This window comes from Homo sapiens, chromosome 1 (genome assembly GCF_000001405.40).
Source record: "Homo sapiens chromosome 1, GRCh38.p14 Primary Assembly".
Taxonomy (NCBI): Eukaryota; Metazoa; Chordata; class Mammalia; order Primates; family Hominidae; genus Homo; species Homo sapiens.
Genome location: NC_000001.11, coordinates 30,982,105 through 31,003,217, shown reverse-complemented (window position 1 = coordinate 31,003,217; position 21,113 = coordinate 30,982,105). Strand labels below are relative to the sequence as shown.

General features: G+C 39.4%; 1 protein-coding gene across 2 annotated transcripts in view, besides 1 other annotated feature; it reads left to right on the top strand.

The window, feature by feature from the left end:
- Window positions 1-21,113, top strand: part of PUM1 (pumilio RNA binding family member 1) — a 134,212-nt gene that overhangs the window by 62,500 nt on the left and 50,599 nt on the right. For both annotated transcript variants that reach the window (NM_014676.3, NM_001020658.2), the window contains exons 6-7: window positions 7,998-8,164; window positions 10,558-10,828. In NM_014676.3, the coding sequence (NP_055491.1) occupies window positions 7,998-8,164; window positions 10,558-10,828 (438 nt within the window). The remainder of the gene's footprint in view (window positions 1-7,997; window positions 8,165-10,557; window positions 10,829-21,113) is intronic.
- Window positions 17,087-17,587: an enhancer, noted in NCBI's record as "H3K4me1 hESC enhancer chr1:31458478-31458978 (GRCh37/hg19 assembly coordinates)". NCBI's record gives its function as "activates a minimal SCP1, AML or CMV promoter by ChIP-STARR-seq in naive H9 embryonic stem cells {active_cell/tissue: H9 hESC(naive)}" and the evidence as "EXISTENCE:reporter gene assay evidence [ECO:0000049][PMID:30033119]".

Sequence of the window (21,113 nt, the reverse complement as noted above, 5' to 3'; positions counted from 1 at the left end):
AAAGGAGGAGTGGTACTTGGTAGTGTATGGGGTCAGGGCATCCACGTATTTTTACTTTTGGGGTAGCTGTATCAACATTAATTCCAGTAAGCCTCACTTTAATCCTGAGAGCTGAAAGCATCATCTCTGATGGTATAGTGATTGTAGACCTCAAAGCAAGTAACTAAGAAGTTATTCTTAACACACTGACAACAGATAATTGAGACTTTAACTTTTCAGGTAAAGGTGTTTAGAACTAAAATAAATCTCTATGTAGTGTTTTACCATTTTCAGTGAACTTTGCTGGTTATGGCTAGATTGAAGCTGTTTAGCTCTTTGTCTAGCTTGAATTCATTTTGATTGTACAAATGGTCTCAGTTTAGTGGTTTTGGCTTCTGTGATAAGAATACATTCTGGCTAACAAGAAGAATCTGGCAACCATATTTTGTTCTGAGCATTCACTGTAAATTTTTGGTAGTATTCCACATAGGAATCTCAAACTTTAGGAGAGCAGCTTTCAGAATAATAGAGCTCAAAAATATCAATCAAGTCTTTTATTTTTCTTTTCTTTTGTATCCTTTATTTATTCTTGGAGTAGAACAGGTGCTCACCCCACAGCCCCCCATGGTTCAGGGTGGTTACAAAATCAGATGTAATTATTTTATTTTTGAGGCCCATGGGTGAGATTGCCATCTAAGGACCCTGCTCTCTGGAATACCAGCTGATCTTTTTCAAATAGGTGGAAGCCTAGCCAGCCAAAAAATGGATCATGATTTCTACCTTGCTGGTTTATGGTGCCCAGGGAAATGAGAAGATCACTCTAAACTTTGATTAGGGTAATGACCACCTTAACCTCACAGAAGAAAGATTTTTAGAAAAAATATATTGGGAAGGTCTTTCTGTTTGTTCTGTAGAGAGTATCTGCTTTTTGATCTGGAGGATGTATACACATTCGTAGTATACATCTATTTGGGCCGTGAAACTTGTTTGTCTAGGTTTCACTGCATTTACTTTAGGTAACCAGTGCTACTTAACTTTCATAGGTTTTGTTTGAAAACTTCTGTACAATGTAATGCAGATAGAAATCAGGGGTTTGAGTTTCAAATGGACCTTAATTCATCTGCAAAATGAGAATAATCAAAACTCAACAAAGTCTAATTCATACGGCTGTGTAGCATATGTGAAAATGCTTTGTAAACATTAGAAGTCTTACTACCAAAGTCAGTGGGCCGACAGCATTAGCATCACCTGGGAGCTTATCAGAAACGCAGAATCTCAGATCATACCTGAGAGCGAATGAATCAAAATCTGCATTTTGACAAGACTACCCAGATGATTTGTATGCACATTAAAGTTTGATAAGCACTGCTATCATACGCGTTATCTCAGAAAACTCAGCTGGACAAAGAGTCTAATGATTAGAGCCTTAAAAGTTTCCTAGGGGAAAAAACATAGTATGTCTAGCAATTTTTAAGCCTTGGTGGGGAGGGCTGGTGAGGGCATTGTGAAAAAGGCAATGGGGAAAAAATGTGAAAATTGGATAAAGTATTTTTTTAAAAAGACAACTGTACTTTCATGAATTTCTTTGTTTAGTCCTTGGAACAACACTTTGAGGTAGATACTGTTGTCTCTATTAATTTATAGATGAGAAAACTGAGTCTTAGAGGGGAAATGGGGGGCTGAATTCAAACTTTGTTTGTTCTAATTTCAATTTTTAGCTGTATTGCTTTCAACTGTGCCATACTGGCATTGTTTGTGAGTAGGAATCCTCACAAAAGGATCAGATTTAATATGTTAAATTAAGGAGTATTTCACATGGCCAGCAGTTTCAAACTTATAATTTTTAATATTTGAATTTTTTTTTTTTGAGACAATCTCTTTCTGTCTCTTTCTGTCACCTGGAATGCAGTGGTGTGATCTCAGCTCACTGCAACTTCTGCTTCCTGGGTTCAAGTGATTCTTGTGCCCCTGCCTCCCCAGTAGCTGGGACTACAGGAGTGCATGTGCCACCACACCCAGCTAATTTATTTATTTATTTTATTTTTATTTTTTTTTGAGACGGAGTCTTGCTCTGTCGCCCAGGCTAGAGCGCAGTGGCGCAATCTCGGCTCACTGCAAGCTCCGCCTCCCGGGTTCATGCCATTCTGCCTCAACCTGCAGAGTAGCTGGGACTACAGGCGCCCACCACCATGCCCAGCTAATTTTTCTGTATTTTTAGTAGAGATGGGGTTTCACTGTGTTAGCCAGGATGGTCTCGCTCTCCTGACCTCGTGATCCGCCCGCCTCAGCCTCCCAAAGTGCTGGGATTACAGGCGTGAGCCACTGTGCCCGGCCCACACCCAGCTAATTTATATTTGAAATTTTAAATTACCAGTAGAGCTCGACATTGTTGTACTTCAAAGGAATCAGACATTTCAGTTTTATGGCATTTTGTGAAAATGGGTAAGTGTGTGCAGGAGAAACCAGTGTTTTAGTTAACATTGTTATAGTTTTTGGACTCAGTGTGTCAAGCAGGTATAAAATACTTTGTAGAAAGAAGGGAGGAAAATGACTAATCCCATTAAATATGACTTCTGCTGTGTGAAGCTTTCTTTTAAGATCACGGCAGTAAGAGTAGTAAATAGATTTGAAATCTTCTGACTTCATTCAGAATTAATAGGTATATTAGGAAGTATTCCCCCCTTTATGTGAGTCTTTTGAGGAAGTTGAGCCATAAGTGCATGGATTCTGACCTCAACAATATATAGTTCTACCTACGTCTGCTTTTCTCCCAGTTCTTTGATATTTAGCAATTTCTCTGCCTCTCTGTAGGTCTGGGATCTCTCAGCACCCATCTTGGTTCCACTCTTGAGATTTTGATTGGGCTTGGCCACTTGCAATTTGAGCATTTTACTGAAGTTTGTATTTGAGCACTATAGCTTTGGGTTAACATTCAGCTAAAGAAAGCCCATAATTAAAAGATGCTGTTAAGCCTTTTTCATTTATTCATTTAGCTAATAGACTTTTCCAGTACTGTATGTACTTGATAATATATAACAAAAAAGCAAATCACAAACCATGCCTTTCTGATGCTTATGTTGCATTTAATTACCTTGGTTCTCAATTGTGGATACTTACCCGAGCTATTTGAGGAGAAGCTTTTCACAACATTTGCAGGAACCTCTACAGACCAATCAGATCAATCTCTGGTGCAGAGGGTGGGCCCAGCCACCTGTGAATTTAAAAAGATTGCGATGCCTAACCCTAATCATAGAACCACTGCTTTGTGCAAATGACAATGCCCCTGGGAGGGCCATATTGGCCGTATACTTGTATTTGAGATTTAAACCACTTAATTGGGACATTTAAGATTTTTATTCTTGATGTCATGTATAGTGTTACAAAGAAACACCATCCCAGTGCGTCTCTTTATTACTATTATATTACATTTGTGTAAAATGGCTTATCTTTATAAAACTTTTAGGCATGCATTATTTCATTGTTATTCATGAGTAAACAAAGTCTCAGAGATTAAATGACCTGTCCAAAGTCCTGTGACCAGTAAGTGTTAGCAGTTGAGATAGAATGTAGGTTCTGTGCACCCTGGTTCAGCACCTTTTTTTTTTTTTTTTTTTTTTTTTTTTTTTTTTTTTGAGACAGAGTCTTGCTCTGTCACCCAGGCTGGAGTGCAGCAGTGTGATCTTGGCTCACTGCAACCTCTGCCTCCAGGGTTCAAGCGATTCTCCTGCCTCAGCCTCCCGAGTAGCTGGGATTACAGGTGTGCACCACCACGTCTGGCTAATTTTTGTAGTTTTAGTAGAGATGGGGTTTCACCTTGTTGGCCAGGCTGGTCTTGAACTCCTGACCTCAGGTGATCCGCCTGCCTCGGCCTCTCAAAGTGCTGGGATTACAGGTGTGAGCCACCGCACCTGGCGGGTTCAGTATTTTTTTAAAAGACTGGGCTAGGTGTTATGGCTCACACTTGTAATCACAGAGCTTTGGGAGACCAAGGCAGGAGGATCACTTGAAGCCAGGTGTTTGAATCTAGCCTGTGAAACATAGCAAGACCCCATCTCTACAAAAAATATAAAAATCAGCCAGGCATGGTGTGTGCATCTGTAGTCATAGCTCCTTGGGAGGCTAAGGTGGAAGGATCACATGAGCCCTAGAGGTCAAGGCTGCAGTGAGTCATCATTGCAGTACTGCATTCTAGTCAGGGTGAAAGAGCGAGACCCTGTCTCAAAAACAAAAACAAAAACAAAAACAAAAACACCACACAGCTATGAATAGTTTATCTTAAATATTTTTCAGAAGTGTAAAATTTTCATAAAACTTAGCCCATTTATACCTTTCTTCTATTGTCTTTAGGGTCTTCATGTTTTTAAGAGACCATTTTAAGGATCTTGAACCTGATACTGCTGTCTATTAATGAAATAAACTCAGGGTCTCACTTTGTCCCCAGACTGGAGTGCATTGCCAGTGCATATTTTGTTCTGAGCATTCACTGTAAATTTTTGGTAGTATTCCCCATAGGAATCTCAAACTTCAGGAGAGCAGCTTTCAGAATAACAGGAGAGCTCAAAATATCAGTCAAGTCTTTTATTTTTCTTTTCTTTTCGTATCCTTTATTTTATCTATTCTTGGAGTAGATCAAGTGCCCACCCCACAGCTCACTGCAGCTTTGAACCCCTGAGCTCAAGTGGTCTTCTTGCCTCAGCCTCCTGAGTAGCAAGGACTACAGGCGCATGCCACCTTGCCCAGCTAATTTTTTTAAAAACTTTTTTTTTAGAGATGGCGTCTCCTCTGTGTTGCCCAGGCTTGTCTTGAACTCTAGGCCTCAACCTAGATCCTTCCGCTTCTGCCTCAAAGTGCTAGGATTACAGGCATGAGCCACTGCGTGCAGCTGATACTATCTCTTAATAACAGACTTTTGACAGAATGGTTTCCTATTTGTGCTTTTGTTTTTACTCAGAAGTCAGACTTCTGCTGGCCATTTTTATGGAGGGCCATTGTTGATTTCTTGAGTTTCTTTTTTCTTTTAAGTAAACTTTATATTGAAATATGACCTATGTTCAGAGAAGTGTACGAGCCATAAATGTTCGTCTTGAATTTCTGCAAAATCAAAACACCCATATAACACCTTCCCAGATCAAGAATTAGAAACTTCCCTTGGGTTCCCCACTCTCTAAAAGAAGGAGCCCACCATTTTGGTTAGGCATCAATAGCTTATTCAGAGTAGAAAACCCGGTATTTTGTAGGAATGGCCTGTACGATATTGGTAAAATGCAACACATTGCAGGGAAATATTTGAAAATCTGGCCCGTGGCAGTATAACTGAGAATGTAAATTAGTGGCTGAAAGTGTAACTTAGCAGTCAAGATTTCAGGCCATGCCGGGCGTGGTGGTGCATGCCGGTAATCTTTGCTACTGGGGAGGCTGAGGCAGGAGAATCACTTGAACCTGGGAGGTGGAGGTTTCAGTGACCTGAGATCGCACCACTGCACTCCATCCTGGGCAACAGAGCAAGATTCCGTCTTAAAAAACACCACCACCACCACAAAAGAGATTTCAGGCCAGTCAGCATGTAGAAGAGCTGAGCAGGTTCTCAGTAAAGCCCTTGTGAAGAGCCCCTGAGGAAAGATAATGCAGAGCATTGATATGACTAGTGCACATCCCCTGCAACCAGCTGTCTTGCTTGTTGTTGAAACTTCCTACTGCTGCTTTATCCTCCTTTCTTTCCTTTAAAAAAAAAAAAAAAAAAAAAGACGAGTTTCACTCTTGTTGCCTAGGCTGGAGTGCAATGGTGTGATCTTGGCTCACTGCAACCCCTGCCTCCTGGGTTCAAGCGATTGTCCTGCCTCAGCCTCCCGAGTAGCTGGGATTTCAGGTGCTGCCTAATTTTTGTATTTTTCTTAGAGACAGGGTTTCACCATGTTAGCCAGGCTGGTCTTGAACTCCTGAGCTCAAGTGATCCTGCCTTGCCCTTCCAAAGTGCTGGGATTATAGGTGTGAGCCACTGCGCCTGGCCCTTTCTTTCCATTTTTGCCTACAGACCTTTTGAACTCCTTTTGAGAAATTGGAGCTGAACTGTTTCTTCTGAGCCAGTGATTTGATTTGTAGACTGCGGAAGATGATGACTTAGGCGTGGCAGTGGGATGATTCTTGTAATATTCTTTTGCTGTTGACATTAATGGTTTCTGATTCAGGCAGAGTTGTCATCTAGACCATATTACCACCTCCAGGACTCTTATTTAATGATGATAAGGACAACAGGAAGATCATTCTTATTTTAACAGTTCAGTTTTGCATGATTTTTTTGTTCCTTTTAATTTTCTTCATCATATTTATTGAGCTTTTATCAGGCACTGCAGTCAGTGCTAGGGATATAAAAATGAGTACACAGCTTTAGTCAGTTTTGCCTCTGCAGTATGGAGGAAGCTATTGCCTTTGGATATTTTGAAAGATCTTTTTGCCTTTAGAACCCTATCATATTCCTATCTCTGCTTTGAGGAATCTCAATGTGGTGCATAATTGGTTATCATTCAGTCCTTTTAAATCAATAACAGCCACATACTTTAAAGATTCTATTCTGAAGGGCACATCTCAATGGCCGTCAAAGCTGTGGTTTACTGTTTTGATGCCACATGAAGCTAAGTTGTATATCCTTTCTCAGTTCCTTGTCATATTTGTTCTTTTTTTATATTATCTTTTTCTGTATCACATTTGAACAGAGAATAACTTTAGAAGTAAAATGGGCTCTAAAGTAGTAGTTGAAAGGTTTAAGAATGTCAGCCTTTCTGGGCCAGTGATCTCTTAAGAGCATCTGTTGGTTTTGGATCTACAGGCCTGTCCACAGTCAGTCTATTTATAACCGAGTGTCTGCTGCTGTGTCCTCCATTGTTGATTTCTCCCCATTGACATTTGGTTTTGGTGACTGGGAATGCTTTGCAGCCACTCTCATCTTCTATTGAGTGGATCTTGCCTTGTACCAGGAACTTGAACTTGGTCCATGTGCATTTCTCTTCCTTAAACCAGGAGTCAGTCGTGGGGAAAAGCAAGGCTGCTTCCCTCTAGTTTTACAAGAACAAAGGGTTAAACCCTTAACCCTTTGGTGTAAGGTTCTGCAAATCTCTCTGTACTATGTCAAGTCACTATACCAAATCTTTTCCTTTGGAAATCAAGGTACATGTACTTTATATGTCCAGGGCTTAACTTGGGATGTCGGTAAGAGGAGATAGACACTTCAGAGAGAAATTCTTTTGTATCAAATGCTTCAATTTAACATACTCCCACTTAGAGATCTCATGAATAATCTTTGTTACCAGTAGATGGTAGAAGATAGTTATTAGAATACTTTTGGTGAAAGAATCTCAGAGTTAACTTGTTTTGAGGCATTAAAAAATTTAAGGGTCATCAGTGAATTGATGCATACCTGTGAGGCTTATAGGGTAGAGCTGGGAGGTGATGCAAATTGACAGGGCATATATCCCAAGATCAGGTACAGAATAATTGAGTTGATATGATGTTAGACCACACTTGGCTCAATATTTAGAAGTAAGGGAGGAATTTACATAGTGCAGTGGAGAAGTATGAAATTCTTTTTACAGGCTTAATAATTTTTTTTTTCTATGCTATTAGCTGTCATACCTGGGGCTTATTAAGAGTCATGCTATTATACAGAGTTAGGTTTGGGAGTAGAGAACTTGACCAAGAGCTGCAAAGTTATGGCTGGGCTTTGGGTAGGAAGAAAAAAAAGGAAGGAAGAAAAAAAAGGAAGGAAGAAAATGGGTTGGTGGGACATTGGATATAGTAAGACTGTTCTGAACTCTGTAACATAAATGTATGTCTGTCTCCCTCATTTGGCAAGACCTTCTGCAGTGTTCCTGCCTCTGTGTTGTTTGTTAATTAGATTGTAATGTGTGAAAGGGCACAACACTATCCTCTTCTGAGTAGCATCTAGTGTAGTCTGGTGCCCACAACGGTTGCCCGTTATTATTAGTTGATGACGATTAGTGAAGCTGAAGCTATTTTTTAAACAGGGCCCAAGGGATGCAGACAGTGATGAAAACGACAAAGGTGAAAAGAAGAACAAGGGTACGTTTGATGGAGATAAGCTAGGAGATTTGAAGGAGGAGGGTGATGTGATGGACAAGACCAATGGTTTACCAGTGCAGAATGGGATTGATGCAGACGTCAAAGATTTTAGGTTTGTATGTTTTACACTTCTGATTTTTGAATATGGGCTATGGGATTTTGTTTGTTTTGATTTAGTTTTACTTTGATTTTCGTTTTCTTCCCCTCTTCATGTTTTCTTTTTAAGAATCCAATCTAGTGTAGGCTATGCTACAAAGATTGTAAATTAACTGGTGAGGTGGAATTTTCTAAAAGGTGTCAATGCCTGAAGCGTTGCCAAAATGATAGATTTTGCATTTGCATAGAACTTTAAAATCTGAAGAAAGATTCCAGAGAAGACTATTTCAGTGATTCTCAGATATTAAAATCACCTAGGATAGATGCCTTGGAACCTTTCTTAAGTTTCTCCCAAATTACCGTATTAGAGAGCTATGGTTACTAATGGAATATGTCATATCCCTCTGGTGGTTTAGAGGGAAAAACAGTTGAGAACTTGTGCATTATCTCATTTGAGTCTCATGAGCTCTTTTTGAGGTAGGTGGACCAGGTATCATTTTCCTTATTTTGAAGAGCCAGAGATGCAGCTTAAATGATTTGTTCTTAATCATATCTCTTCTGCAGATGCCTCTCATTCCATCTCTGGTCATGATTAATGTACAGGTTTTACCCTATTATTTAAGTTACACAGTATTAAAATAATGTATATTTATCTTCCACAATTGGCACATATTCTTGAAAAATCTATAAAAATCCTTGTCCAGTTATATATACAGGTAGAGGATTTTTTTTTAATCTCCAGTGTGATAGTACAGGTAGAGAATTTAATTTTGAGTAATTTTAATATCAGTGTAAAGCTAATGTGTGTGCATGCACACACTCACACCCCTCTGCTTATTCTAATGTCTGCCAAAGTCAAAATGAAAATGTATTTTGGACCATCGTTGTAGGACAAGTGTCAGTTGTTTTGTATCCCTAATCTAATTATTGTTAATCTTGCATGTGTAAATAATTACAGTCTTAAACTTTTTAAAAATTATTTTTATTTATTTATTTTTTGGAGACAGGGTCTCACTCTGTTACTCAGGCTGGACTGCAGTGGCATGAAGTTAGCTCACTGCAGCCACCACCTCCTGAGTTCAAGCAGTCTTCCCACTTCAGCCTCCCGAGTAGCTGGGACTACAGCCGCGCACCACCATGCCTGGCTAATTTTTATATCTTTTGTAGAGATGGGGTTTTGCCATGTTGCTAGGTTGGTCTTGAACTCCTGAGCTCAAGTGGTCTGCCTGCCTTAGCCTCCCAAAGTGCTGAGATTACAGGCATGAGCCACCATGCCCGGCCTGAATTACAATCTTTGGAAGAAATTTAAGGCACAGGGTAATAAATACTTACCTAAGGTCTTTCAGATGAGTTCAGGTGTCCTCTCCACCTTGAATATCCAGCAGCCTGTAGCAGTATTTTGTTGTATTTAAATGGGGGCTGGTGGTGGTGGTGGTGAGTGTGTGAGTGAGAGAAAGAAAGAGAAGGAACCAGAATAATACCTTTAATATGTACCAGCTACTGGACTACAGGATTTTTTGGGGTAGGGGGTTGGAGGTGGAGAAGAAGGGCATTGAATGTTGCCACAGGTTACACTCTTCTGTTTATATAATATTATATATTAGTCTGATTTTGGATCATATAATCCTGAAGTCCTTTTATATAAGGTGATGGTAGACCCTGGGTTACCCAGAACCTTGTGTCCTACAATAATTATCAATAGTGCCCTGTTTTTTTTTTTTTTTTTTAAATCTTAGGCATGTCCTGGTTTGGATGATAAATTACATCTTCCCATTACTTTTAATTCTTAGAATTGTCTCCTTAACAGGGGCATATCCTAGATAATGAGTTCATCTTGTACTACTTTGGAATAGTCTGCTTATTTCGGTTTCTTAGAAAGGGGAGTTAGTTTTAACATTGGTCAGTAATACCAACGACATGTAAAAACTTTTTTCATTCTGTTTCTTTCCTCACAAATATGCCAGGAAGATAAAAACTTTTTAGAATCACTGAGTTGTGGAATTTCCCCCAGAAACCAACTTTTTCCATTGTCTCTGTATTTAAAGAGTAGATAGAGTAGATGTTGCATTTTGATGCATTTTGGGATCTGCTTTCATGGATGCTATAGACAGTGATTTTTCCACTTTATTTCAGTTTTCCTCAAACCCGGCCCCCTTGGTGAAGGGATGTAAATTAATAGCAATTAATGTGAATTTAAGGGGTGAGTTATATGGAATTGCCGGCAATAGAAGCATCAATTTAGAAGATGTAACCCTGTAAGCCCTGTAAAGTATCTCTGGTTATTTTATAGAAATAGTTTTAAATACTGTTGATAATGAGCTATGTTGAGGACATTGTCCTTAAACTTGGGTTGCTGTAGTCCCTCCCCACTGAAAATAAGGTTTAATGCCCTTTACTTTCTCTGTTTAGCCGTACCCCTGGTAATTGCCAGAACTCTGCTAATGAAGTGGATCTTCTGGGTCCAAACCAGAATGGTTCTGAGGGCTTAGCCCAGCTGACCAGCACCAATGGTGCCAAGCCTGTGGAGGATTTCTCCAACATGGAGTCCCAGAGTGTCCCCTTGGACCCCATGGAACATGTGGGCATGGAGCCTCTTCAGTTTGATTATTCAGGCACGCAGGTACCTGTGGACTCAGCAGCAGCAACTGTGGGACTTTTTGACTACAATTCTCAACAACAGGTACTGTGTGTGTCTCTGTCACCCTCTCTACTCTCCCTCCAGCCAGCACGTTGTTCAAGTAATTAAGAATGGGGGGATGGGGGAGGTGGTGGCATTGTTTCAGGCTATCCATAGCTAGCCCTTGTGAACCTGTTAGTGATGTAGGTTTACAGAGTCCCCTCATGAAGCTGGTCCCTATGCTGAGGTCACTGGCAAGAGGCCACCGTCCTCTGTATGTACTTCCTTTGGTTCTTCTCTCTCCTCAGCAGCTGGGGAGTGGATGAGGTAGTATTGCCTCTTGTAACACAACCCTCTCGGGTGCTAAATTAATCTCTGAAGATTTATGTGGTTGTGATGCTGTTGGTTTGTTTTGTTTTTAAAATAGTAAACTCTACTATCCACCGCTGTCAGGAGTGTAGTGCCAGGTCATCTTACCAGTTGTGTCTTACAGTTAAACAAGTTACTCCAGATAGCATAGACAAGGATCTGGCATCTTTCAAAAGTATTAGAATGCGATCAGAGGAAACCACACACACAAATCATTCAACTTAAAATCTACCATGAAATTGCTTGGCTCTTTTTCTTTTTTTAAATTCATAAGTCCCTGAAGATGTTGTATGTCTACCTTCTGTTTTTGAAGACATGTAGGACTACCTCTAGGATTAACTGATCTCTGTGTTTATTTATTTATTTTTTAAAGAAAGGTCAGCTGTCTGAACTACAAAAGAGGGGCTGTTAGTTTCCCAATCTTGTTAAGTTCTCCCTTGTGGCGGAAGCAGTTTGATTGACCATGAATTTCTGTTACTCTTTAGTAGTTTTGTAATAGATCGTTAATGCAGACTTCTAGGTTTGAAAGGTTAGCATCTCATTTTGAAGTTTAGAAATTCTATGTAGGGAAATTAGCTTATGGTCTTTGGAGATTATTATGCCGTGTTGTACCTTTAGTTATTGTCATAAATAGCTGATACTAAATGAATTTTGATTGATAGAGTAAAAAGTTAAACATATGAAGTTTCCCTTTAAGTCTCCTGTGTCGTTTATGAACAATAAATACCTTTAAGGGATTGTGTGAATGTGCATATTCATATAAGGTTAAATTAACAAAATATCTTTCAGAGAGAGTAAACTGAAAGTGTACACTCTTCTCCGTGCAGTTCTTAGTAGGTATGCCTGCCTCCCCATATGAATTGACTCTCTGTGCTTTTTTTCTCTTTATGGCCATTTTTGGTTCTTAGCTTCCATTCCCAGTGTAATGCAATCTAACACTTTCTGTGTTTTTTAAGAAGGGTTTGTCTCAGATTTCTTATGAACAAAAATATATGGTTCTCTCTTTTTTTTTTAAACTGTTCTTTACTTCATAATCAGAGTTGATATTCTTTTTTGATTTATTGATCTTTGGTTTCAAAATAATTTTACCAGTTTTTGGAGACTGGACAATTATTAGAACTTGAACAGAAATGTACTTCTATGTACCCACAAGTAGTTAGCATGATTACATCATAGCTACCACTTATTCAAAAATATAAAACCAAGGGTGCCCTCACCATATATCTCAGCAGTTATTGAAAGTAAACATTATTTTGAAAGTTAATCTCTTGTTGGATTCAGGTTTCCTGTGCATGTCTTGGTTGCTGCAACATAGAGGCATTTTTACACAGACATACCACTGTCATGATGTGAGTGTTGTTTTATCTCATGGGCCATAATTCTTTTCTGAGTAGTTTGTTTTATACATTCTTGTACCGGGGGCCCTAATAGCATACCTGGGAACCACTGGCGTAAGCCTCCTATATCTTTAAGACCCTCAATCTCTCGGTGTTCCTGTATAAGAGCTAGTAGTTGTCAAGAAGGAACGATTCCTTTTCTATTGGAAATTGGTGTTTGTTTCTTACATTTTATCCCTTATCCTTTTAGTTTTCATTACATTTTATTCCACTTTTCATTTCTAATTTACGTCCACCTCATTTGTCAAGGTTCAGTACTGTCACCTTCCTTTCTTAGTCTCCAAACCAAAAAGCTGTCATGTCTGCCTCCCTAGAACTCCATAGCATTTTGTGTTTCCTTTAAGAGAAGGTGTTACCATGTTTTGTCTTGTGTTGTGATTACTCGTCTAATAGTCCTTGCCAGATTGTAAGCTCCTTGAGGGCAAAGACTGAACCTTACCCCATTTCCTCTGCATTGCTTTAGCAGAACAAGGTTTCAGGGGACTTTCCCCCATCCCTATTATAATATCTCAGTGCATCCTCTGTACGTAATATGCTTCCCAAAATTAAAATTTGAAACTAGCCTTTCAGGAGGTCTGGAGGCTACTCTTTGAGAACTACCGTGTTTTCTAATATGTGTGTCCTTTGGATCCAGCTTACCACTTATATACAAATAACTATGCTGTATAATATCCAGGAAAGTTACTTCTTGGATCAGAACTTAATATTTTAAGGCTCACTCTGTTGTCATCTGATCAGAAGCCATGGTCTCTCTCATGAGAAAAATGTACATAATTCTCTGACACTCAGTTTTGTAGATAACTTCAGGGAGACCACAGATTTGTGTTCTACAGATACAGCCTTCTGTTCATATCTTTTGTTCTTTGTAGCCAACCATATCTTTCATGAATAGAGTAAGATTCCCTTTCTTCTTCTTGATTTGCTCTCAGGTTAGTCATTGTAACTCACTTTATCATTTAAATTGTGCATGGAAGTACTCGATGACAAGTGATGAGACCATTTATGCCCATATTCTTGGAACCCTGCAACTATGGAGAGTGTACTCTGGTCTCTTGGGAAGGGAAGGACTTTGTGGAAGAAGTGGTTCTTTTTTTTTTTTTTTTTTTTTTTTTTTTGAGACGGAGTCTCACTCTTTTGCCCAGGCTGGAGTTCAGTGGTACGATCTTGGCTCACTGCAACTTCCGCCTCCTGGGTTCAAGCGATTCTCCTGCCTCAGCCTCCCGAGTAGCTGGGACTACAGACACCCACCACTGTGCCTGGCTAATTTTTGTAGTTTTGGTAGAGATGGGGTTTCGCCTTACTGGCCAGGCTGGTTTCGAACTCCTGACCTCAGGTGATCTGCCCGCCTTGGCCTCCCAAAGTGCTGAGATTACAGGCATGAGCCACTGCGCCCAGCCAGAAGAGGTAGTTCTTTAGCTGTGCCTTGAAAGACTTTTTTATATACGAAGAAAATGAGAATTCTAGTGGAGGAAATAGTAAAACAGATATGTGTTCAGTAGATAATGTAGAAGTAGTCAGTCTGGTTGGTGGTTAGGTTGAAGAAAAATAACTAGAGAGGTTGAAGAGATGGTGTTGTGAGTCTTATGCTGTGTTGCCTATAGGAAATGAGAAGACACTTTAAAGCAGGAATTACTTAATTATTATAGTTTGTTTTTTTTGTGGTTAGTGTGAGTTTAGCAGCAGTTTGAGGCATTCTCTTACTCTTATTATTCAGTTAACTGTTGACTGTTGTGTCCTTCTAGGAACCTTGGGTTCTGAATGAAACAGTAGTGGAATATTTGGGGAACTAAGTGCTAAATTAATGGGTTCTGAATCTTATCAGACAAGGGGAGGGCTCAATGAGGACAAAGGTTGCATGCAACTGACTTGAAGGACAGGTGGAATACATTTTGTTGCAGGTCAGAGCAGAGGTATGGAGCTGGGAATGACTGTGGTGTAGTCCTAGGCTGAAGAGAGTAGAAGACGAGTGTACAAGAGGACAAGGAGGTACAGATGCCTTTGAAAATTGAGTCCCGGAGGCCTTGAGAACCAGCTGGAAGTCTCAGACAGTACTGATGATTGTGAGGGTTGGACCAGAGGTCTAGTGCAGCACATACTTTTCTGCACATTCTGCTCTTTTTATCTTGGCTTTCTGAAATAAGCAACAAAGGTGATCATTTTTCTTGGTTTAGAGTTTGCTGCAAATGGTAGGTTTGCTTTATTTGTGATTTTTTAGAATAGGAATCTGGTTTGGAGGTTGACAAAATAAGTAATTCTCTCTTTTGTTATATTTTCTTTCAATCTTGGCTTTGATTTGGTGTAATAAGCTGGTTTCATCAAACTTATTATCAGCCTATAATGAGATACATGACATGGAGCAGCCTGCAAATAGGGAAAAGGTAATTTTCATTTAATTCATTGCAAACTTAGTTCTTGTTAGCTGTGACATGGGATTTTGATGAGTCAGTTGGTTGTCTGGTCACTGTTAATCACTCTGAATTTAACCCTTGTAAGGTTTATTTATAAGAGCAGGAGTTTCTAATTCTTTTTTGTTTGTTTTTGTGTGTGCCGTGAACTTCTTAATAAGTGAACCATGTGGACTACTTCTCAGAATAATGTTTAAAATGTATAAAGTAGGATTACAAAGGAAACCAGTGGTATAAAAATAGCTGTCATATTTAAAAACAAAGTTAATTATATATTTACTTATTTATGATATGATGCATGAAATAGAAGTAGATGTACTAGCTGTCATAATGAGCACAAGTAAGATGTTGAGATACTTGTAACAACTGTAAAGTAACATGAAAGTATATGTGATTTCTGTTTGTGATAATGTCACAGGTATATTGCTAAAGTTAATGTAGTTTGTTGTCTACAATCATAATTGAAGAACATGCTAAATTTCAGGTAAATGTGCATGAGATAAAGATGCAGTATTACCCACCCAAGTACAAATATCTTGGGTTCAGAACCTCTGACTTGGAGTATTTTGTCAGCTTGAAATGCTCGTTGTTATTTCTAAAATGTTCTTCCTTTGTCTCAAATTCACTTCATTGTCTTCTTAATCCTGGAAAACAGCTGTGAGCAGTTCATGCATAATGTGTTCATACCATTTTGTACTGTGATGTTGGAGCAGTATTTATTTTTTACAAAATGCTATACAGTTGCCTGTTTCCTTAAATGCAGTTTAGAAAATTATTACTAGGTTTTGGCTAGGCGCGGTGGCTCACGCCTGTAATCTCAGCACTTTGGGAGGCCGAGGCGGGCAGATCATGAGGTCAGGAGTTCGAGAGCAGCCTGGCCAATATGGTGAAATCCCCTTTCTACTAAAAATACAAAAATTAGCCGGGCGTGGTAGCACACGCCTGTAGTCCCAGCTACTCGGGAGGCTGAGGCAGGAGAATCACCTGAACCCAGGAGGCGGAGGTTGCAGTGAGCTGAGATCACGCCACTGCACTCCAGCCTGGGCGACAGAGTGAGACGCCGTCTTAAAAAAAAAAAAAAAAAAATTTGTTACTAGGTTGTATTATGTTACAAACATGGCACAAACCAAAGCCAGGATTATATCAGTGTAGAATTAATTGTATTGTTGATCTTTATTTAGAATTCAGTTAATCTAAAAATAGCCTAATGTAGTATGTTTCACAAAATTGGACACTGTTGTACTAAAACTCATCTGTTAAGCATGAATTTTAACAAAGATTCAATATTCTGAAAATGAAAGTTGAAGTATGGTATTCATTCCTGCACGACCACAGTCAGAGGGGAGTGGAAATCGGCATGTGTTAAAAGTGTGGCAGTGTGATTAAATGTCATTCTCGTGAGGCCAAGTGTGTATATACTTTTAATGTAGGTATTTAATATGCTCAACTTTCTCTTTAACTTACAAATGATTATTCTATCAAGTGTCATGTGTATAGTAACTGACAAAGAGTGACTAGTAATTGATCAGTTGAAGCTTAACTTCTATTGTTATTTGACTTCGTTCAAATTTTACTTATGGTGAAGTTTTTCTCAAAAAGTATTAATAATACTTAGTGAAGGGATGTGTTTTGTTCTTCCCTAGGACCTTAGAAATCATTTGTTTTGGAATCAGATTCTTCATCTGCCAAAGAAATGCACAGATGATGATGATGATGATTTTTTTTTTTTAGTTTAGCAGCATGGTTTAATTTGTATGCGCCTACGAAAAATCATTGTAATCATTAGTTGATCATTGCAGTAGTTCAAATAACCTGGTATAAACTGGGCTTTTATCTAGAAGCTTCAAGCAGTAACAAGATTTCACAAATTTCATATGCTGAGGAATGACTCCAAAATAAACCTTTTTCTTAAAATTTTAGAATCCCATCATTGATATAGTGCTTTTACTGTTTCGAAGGGATTTTCTCTGTGAACCCTGAAAACAACCCCACGAGGTAGGGCAGCTATTTTATTTTTACACATAAGAGGCCAAGCATGGTGGCTCATGCCTGTAATCCCAGCGCTTTGGGAGGCTGAGGCTGGCAGGACACCCAAGGTCAGGAGTTTGAGATCAGCCTGGCCAACATGGTGAAACCCCGTCTCTAGTAAAAATACAAAAATTAGCCAGGTGTGGTGGCGCAAGCCTGTAATCCCAGCTACTCCAGAGGCTGAGACAGGAGAATCGCTTGAACCCAGGAGGCGGAGGTTGCAGTGAGCCAAGATCGCACCACTGCACTCCAGCCCCGGGGACAGAGTCTCACTCTGTCTCCAAAAAAAAAAATCAGTGAAGTTTAGGGACTTGTTTGAAGGTCATCTAGTACAAGCTATGCAGATAGCTATTATTTTGGTTTCTAGCTTCAGGCTGTCTCTTTTGAACTTTGTATTAGAAACGCAGGGCCTTTTAATAGGTGGAGTTGTCTCACCTTCAAATTCAACTACATAGCTTTTTCTTAAAGTAGTATAATGCAGAAAGTACTCATCCGTAAAAACAAAAATGGTTTTCTTTCTTCCCTGTTATCTTTGTGACCCACTGATAGCAGCTGGTGGTCCTGGTGCGGTGAGATTTTGACTCTTTTTTTTTTTTTTTTTTTGAGATGGAGTTTCACTCTTGTTGCTTAGGCTGGAGTGCAATGGCCATCTCGGCTCACCTCAACTTCCGCCTCCTGGGTTCAAGCAATTCTTCTGCCTCAGCCTCCCGAGTAACTGGGATTACAGGCCTGCACCACCACTCCCGGCTAATTTTGTATTTTTATTAGAGATGGGGTTTCTCCATATTGGTCAGGCTGGTCTCGAACTCCTGACCTCAGGTGATCCGCCTGCCTCGGCCTCCCAGAATGCTAGCATTAAAGGCATGAGCCACTTTGCCTGGCTGATTTAGACTCTTAATACAGACTAGGAGGAGTCCTGCCCTCTGCTTTTGGTCTGCTTGGGCTGCCTGGCTCTGGGAAGGAACTGTAAAGGGTGACTCTCAGAAGGGCTGAGTCTGTTGGGGGTGCTCTCCCCATTCATCAGAAAGAACATCACACATAAAGGACTCTTATAAATCTTTACATGTGTTAATTTTAATCCCCACAGCAACCTGCCATGTTACATATTATCTTTATTGTCATATTAAAGAGGAGAAGAGAATGAGGCACAGAGAGATTAAGCGATTTGCCAGAGGTGACATAGCAAGTCACTGGTGAGCTGAGATAGAAACCAAGGCTGTCTGGCTCCAGAGTCAGTGCTCTTAACCCCTGTCTGCTATGTATATAGTCTCAAACTGGTAAAAAAGTCAGGGCTGGCAGTACATTTTATTGTGGCCGGTGGCCAGGGGGGAGTGGGGGCGGTAGTCTTTTGCATTTACTAACTCCTTATTTAGACATTACTCCTCCAGGTTTAGAAAAAAAAAGCCATAATTTTTTATGTCAGCAACTGCTATTGATAACAACAACAGTAATAATAGTAGTAGCTATCTTTTATAAGATGCCAACTACATGTCAGTCACTATATTGGGTGTTTTTGGCTGCCCGGATTCCTTTCTGGAATAAGAGCTCTGTAGACTGTTTTTAATATAGTAAGTGACAGAGAAAGGAGGCAAACCAGCTTGTCTACTTCTTAAACTATGCCTTCAGTATTTATTAGGAACCTCGATATGCTTGAAGTAGATGATACATTTTCCCCAGCATTCAGACTCTTGAACAACTTGTGAAATCTACCCAAGTGAATTATAATTAACTGCGTCACATTTATCATTATACTGACCTTTGAGCATTTCCCCCAACTCACAGTATTTTGTTTCTCAGTTATGGGATATTCGCTTGCTTTGTGAAAAACATGAAAATGTTAGCAGAGCTCAGTGCTTTGCCCAGCAGATGGCATTTGTGTGAGTTTTTCAGGATCCTTTGGAATCTGTCACTTGCCAATTACCCAATTTGTTTTGAATACTCTGTATTTCCAGTTAATATTGCACCATTTACATAAAGAGAATGTGCCAAAATTGCTGTAATCTGTTCTGTAATCAAATCTGTCTGCTGTAGATGTATAATTTACTTTTGTTAAGTTGTTTACTGCAAAATGGTCTCAAGAAAATCCTTTTCTATTCACCATAATTACTAAGATATTAATCAGCTCTCAAACATAGGCTATATGGGGTCTCTTGTAAGGCTTGTTTGCTTTTAGTTAAAAGTAATAGTTCCTGCTTTCAGAATGTTTTAATGTGGTGGTGAAAACCACAAGCTAATGTTATATGGAATGATTACTTTTGTGGTATTCCCACATGCCATGTATTTCCGTGTATATTTACAGATACAGTACACATACATAAAATGACTTACATGTAATATTAAAAAAATATATAGCCCAGGTGTGGTGGCTCACGCCTGTAATTCCAGTCCTTTGGGAGGCCAAAGTGGAAGGATCATTTGAGCCCAGGAGTTCCAGACCAGCCTGAGCAACGTAGACTTCATCTCTACAAAAAAGTTCAAAAAAAAAAAAAAAAAAATGCCAGGCGTGGTGACATGCGCAGCTACTTGGAGGCTGAGGCAGGAGGATTGCTTGAGCCCAGGAGTTTGAGGCTGTAGTGAGCCATGATCACGTCACTGCATTTAAGCCTGGGTGACAGACAGAGTAAGACTCCGACTCTTCAAACAAACAAAAATATATGAAGTGAGGTTAAGTCAGATGGAATGGCAGTGGACTACTGTTTTTGGTTAATAAATCGAGATACCCTTAAGAGTTGTGTTCTGAACATACTGTCTTTTTTTCCCCAGTTCCATGTCACAGCACCTGCCTAATAATAGGTGCTCGAAAAACATCTGTTGAATGAAATGAATTCTTTTGTTTGCAGTAGGGCAAAGAAGGGTAGAGAGAAGCAGCTAGCACAAGCTGATATGTTAAATGTTGCAAAAGGTTTTAGGCCAAGAAAATTCCAGAAACCCATTGAAGAGGCAATACATGTTTAGTGGAACTATGAGATGTTTTCACAACCTTGGAAATAATTTAAAAGTAACTTTCTACTGTTTTACTTATTTCCCACTCCTGGCTGCCCCTCTTGGGTGGACTGCCTCCTGTTGGAGGGAATACTGTGTGAGACACATCTTTAGTAAAACAGAAATGTGAAACCAACTTGCAGAAATCACAAGCACACTGTTACCAAATAGTCTTGACTGGCTCCCTTCCTGGAGGACAAATGTTTTGATAATGTCTGTCAGTAGATTCAGTTCCCCTATTTCTTTTTAAGACTTGATATTTAGTAATACTGTTTCTTTTTTGCCAGCATCGCAGTGAAGTTTTTCTTTAACTTTTGGGGAAAAACAAAACAAAACAAAACAAAAAAAACTAAAGTATTTTTGAAATCTGTGCATGGTTACTTTTGACATTCATACTCCAAAAGCAGAGACTAAGACTAAAGAGTTAACAGGTGAAATTGGCCAATATCTTCAAAGTATTCACTTTTTGTTTTCTTTTAATCTAAAATTAGCCTCATGTTTGAGGTGTAGAGGGTAGCCAAATCTCAGGATAAAATCTCTCCACCACCTAAGATAAGAGTAAGTCCAGTCATGACAATAATTAAGCTGAGTTGCTAGAATGACATTATCTCCTAATGTCTGAAACAATCAGGTCTCTTTATGAGGACATCTGTAATTCAAGATCCATGGTGTCTGTTAAACATCATCCAGCAATGTCAGCTGAGCTGTTGAAAAATCCTGTAGGAAGAGCAGGTAGGTTGAAGGTCCTATCCAGGGAGGTCACTTCAGTAAGTGCTTTCAGTCTGATTTTAGCAAACATTGAAGTCTTCAGTATGACTCCTTGGAAGGAGGCCCATTAAGGTGATCCACAAATTAGGTTACTGGCATCCCCTTTCTTTATACCAATACTATTCATACTAAAATGTAATCTCCATCAGGGCAGGATTATGTATTGTTTTATTGACTGTCATATCCCTAGTTCCTTGCACAGTGCCTAGCAGGTATCATTTGTTTCATAAATATTTGTTGAATTAATGAGTGAATGACTGGTTTTGTATTAACGTAGAATCGTAAGACATTCTTAGTGTTGTTAAGGCCTTTGAACTTTCTTTTCTTTAGAACTAAGAAGTGTGCTAGGTGTGAGCTCATAATCCAAGTTTTGTTAGTAGCTGCTGTGTTTCTGCTGTT